Source organism: Homo sapiens, chromosome 15 (assembly GCF_000001405.40).
Source record: "Homo sapiens chromosome 15, GRCh38.p14 Primary Assembly".
Classification (NCBI taxonomy): domain Eukaryota; kingdom Metazoa; phylum Chordata; class Mammalia; order Primates; family Hominidae; genus Homo; species Homo sapiens.
The window spans coordinates 46,350,179-46,351,950 of NC_000015.10; the positions used below are offsets into that span (position 1 = coordinate 46,350,179).

At 33.9% G+C, this 1,772-nt stretch overlaps 1 non-coding gene across 1 annotated transcript; it reads right to left on the reverse strand.

The window, feature by feature from the left end:
- Positions 1 to 1,483: 1,483 nt before the first annotated feature.
- Positions 1,484 to 1,567, reverse strand: LOC124900371 (small nucleolar RNA SNORD11). The gene has a single exon (XR_007064823.1). It is a non-coding gene; the product is annotated as a small nucleolar RNA SNORD11 (small nucleolar RNA).
- Between the last annotated feature and the right edge of the window lie 205 nt (positions 1,568 to 1,772).

The window sequence follows — 1,772 nt, forward strand, 5'->3', positions numbered from 1 at the left end:
GATTGGTTAGAAATGCCTTAGAGAATACTGTTTGTGTACATTTCATTAATTATTTTACTTCAAACATGATGAAAGTGTCTTTAAATTTCAGATGATATATAAAACAAAACCAGATACAGTATGGAATTCAGAGCTGTGAAGGAGTTATGAAGTGTATCTGAAGTTTATAATTTAAATTATCAAGTATTTGTAAAAAATTATCAAGTATTTGTAAAGCTACTGCATTTAAAATATGTTAAATGTTTTTGTAGAACCCTTCAGGCATTTGGTATCAGAGAAAGCTAGGTTTAAAATAGCCAAATGTCGAAAATGGAAGTACTAGTTATTCCAAAGCTACCACTCAAAGTCTCACTGCATAATTTTGCGAGAGTTGTATGTTCCCTAGCGGATCCAAGTCAGCCATGTAATCTCACCTCCAAATTTATTTCTCACAGTCCTGTTGGCCATGGGGGCTTTAGGTAATCACCTATTTGTTTATAGTATCATGCTAGACATACAGCCATAGCATTTCTATAAGGACTATCGGTATTTTTTCTGAGTTTTGGGTTTGCCAAGCAAATAAATATGGATACTTTTCCTCTTCCCACAAGCTGTGTCTGCAATTCAGATAAATTATCAACAGGTGCATAGTGATAGCTTTACAACACTTCATGGTCCAAATGAATGGATATGGTTATAACCATAGTTAACTGAGACTAGTGTTAGAATCCACACTTCCTCATACTTTCAAATTTTATAAATACAACAAAAAATTACATGTTAAAATGACAAATTATATCCTTGAACCATTTATAATGAATAGTGATACTGTTCTGGGGGAAAGACTAGAACAAAATAAAGACACCCAAATATTAATTGTTAATCTTATTAATTGTATATGTTGATAATCACTGCTTAAAATAATTTTGATTTTACCTGATAATGGGTGAAATTAAGCCTCAAAATTTTCTTAGAGTATAATGCCATGCCATTTTGCGAAGATGTAGCTCTGATACTTCAGGGCTTCTGCATGGTTTTCTTACTCTTCTAATCATCTCACTATGTAAGTTGTTTCATTCTTTATATCCTTTTGCTTCTCCAGGGAAACTATGATGCAGATTTCCCAACTTGCATCCTCTAATTGTGGTAAAGTATAAAGTGAGAGGAAATGCTAAAACGTTCTGTTTTCCAAACAGGTTATATTCAGTTTGATGCCATTAATCCTGTCTCAGGTCACCCCTCAAAGCCCTGGGCTCAAGCAAGCCTCCTGCTTCAACTTTCCAAGGAGCTGGGACTACAGATGTGTGCTACCTCACCTGGATAGTTTTTATTTTTTATTTTTGCAGAGACGAGGTCTCATTGTATTGCCCAGGCTGGTCTTGAACTCCTGACCTCAAGCGATCCTCCTGTCTCAGCCTTCCAAAGAACTGAGATTACAGGAATGAGCTACCATGCCAGGCCTTCAGATTTCCATTATTCTTTTGTTAAAATTTTTTTTCCACAAATGTCTCAGAAGATATGGTGACTAAAGATACCTTCATTATCCAAAAGGAAATCAGTCAAACAAATAAAAATCATAGTTGAATCAGGACCCTATTCTTAAGAGCCAATCTTATTGTGATTGAGATAAAATGTACAAGTTCAGATATTTATTATTAGTTCTACTATTAATTTCTAGCCAAAGAAAGTGAATTTATTTCTCTTCTTCATAGTACATTCATTTGTTATTTATTTATTTTTTTTCTTTTTCAACTTTTATTTTGGATTCAGGGGGTACATATGCAGGTTTGGTA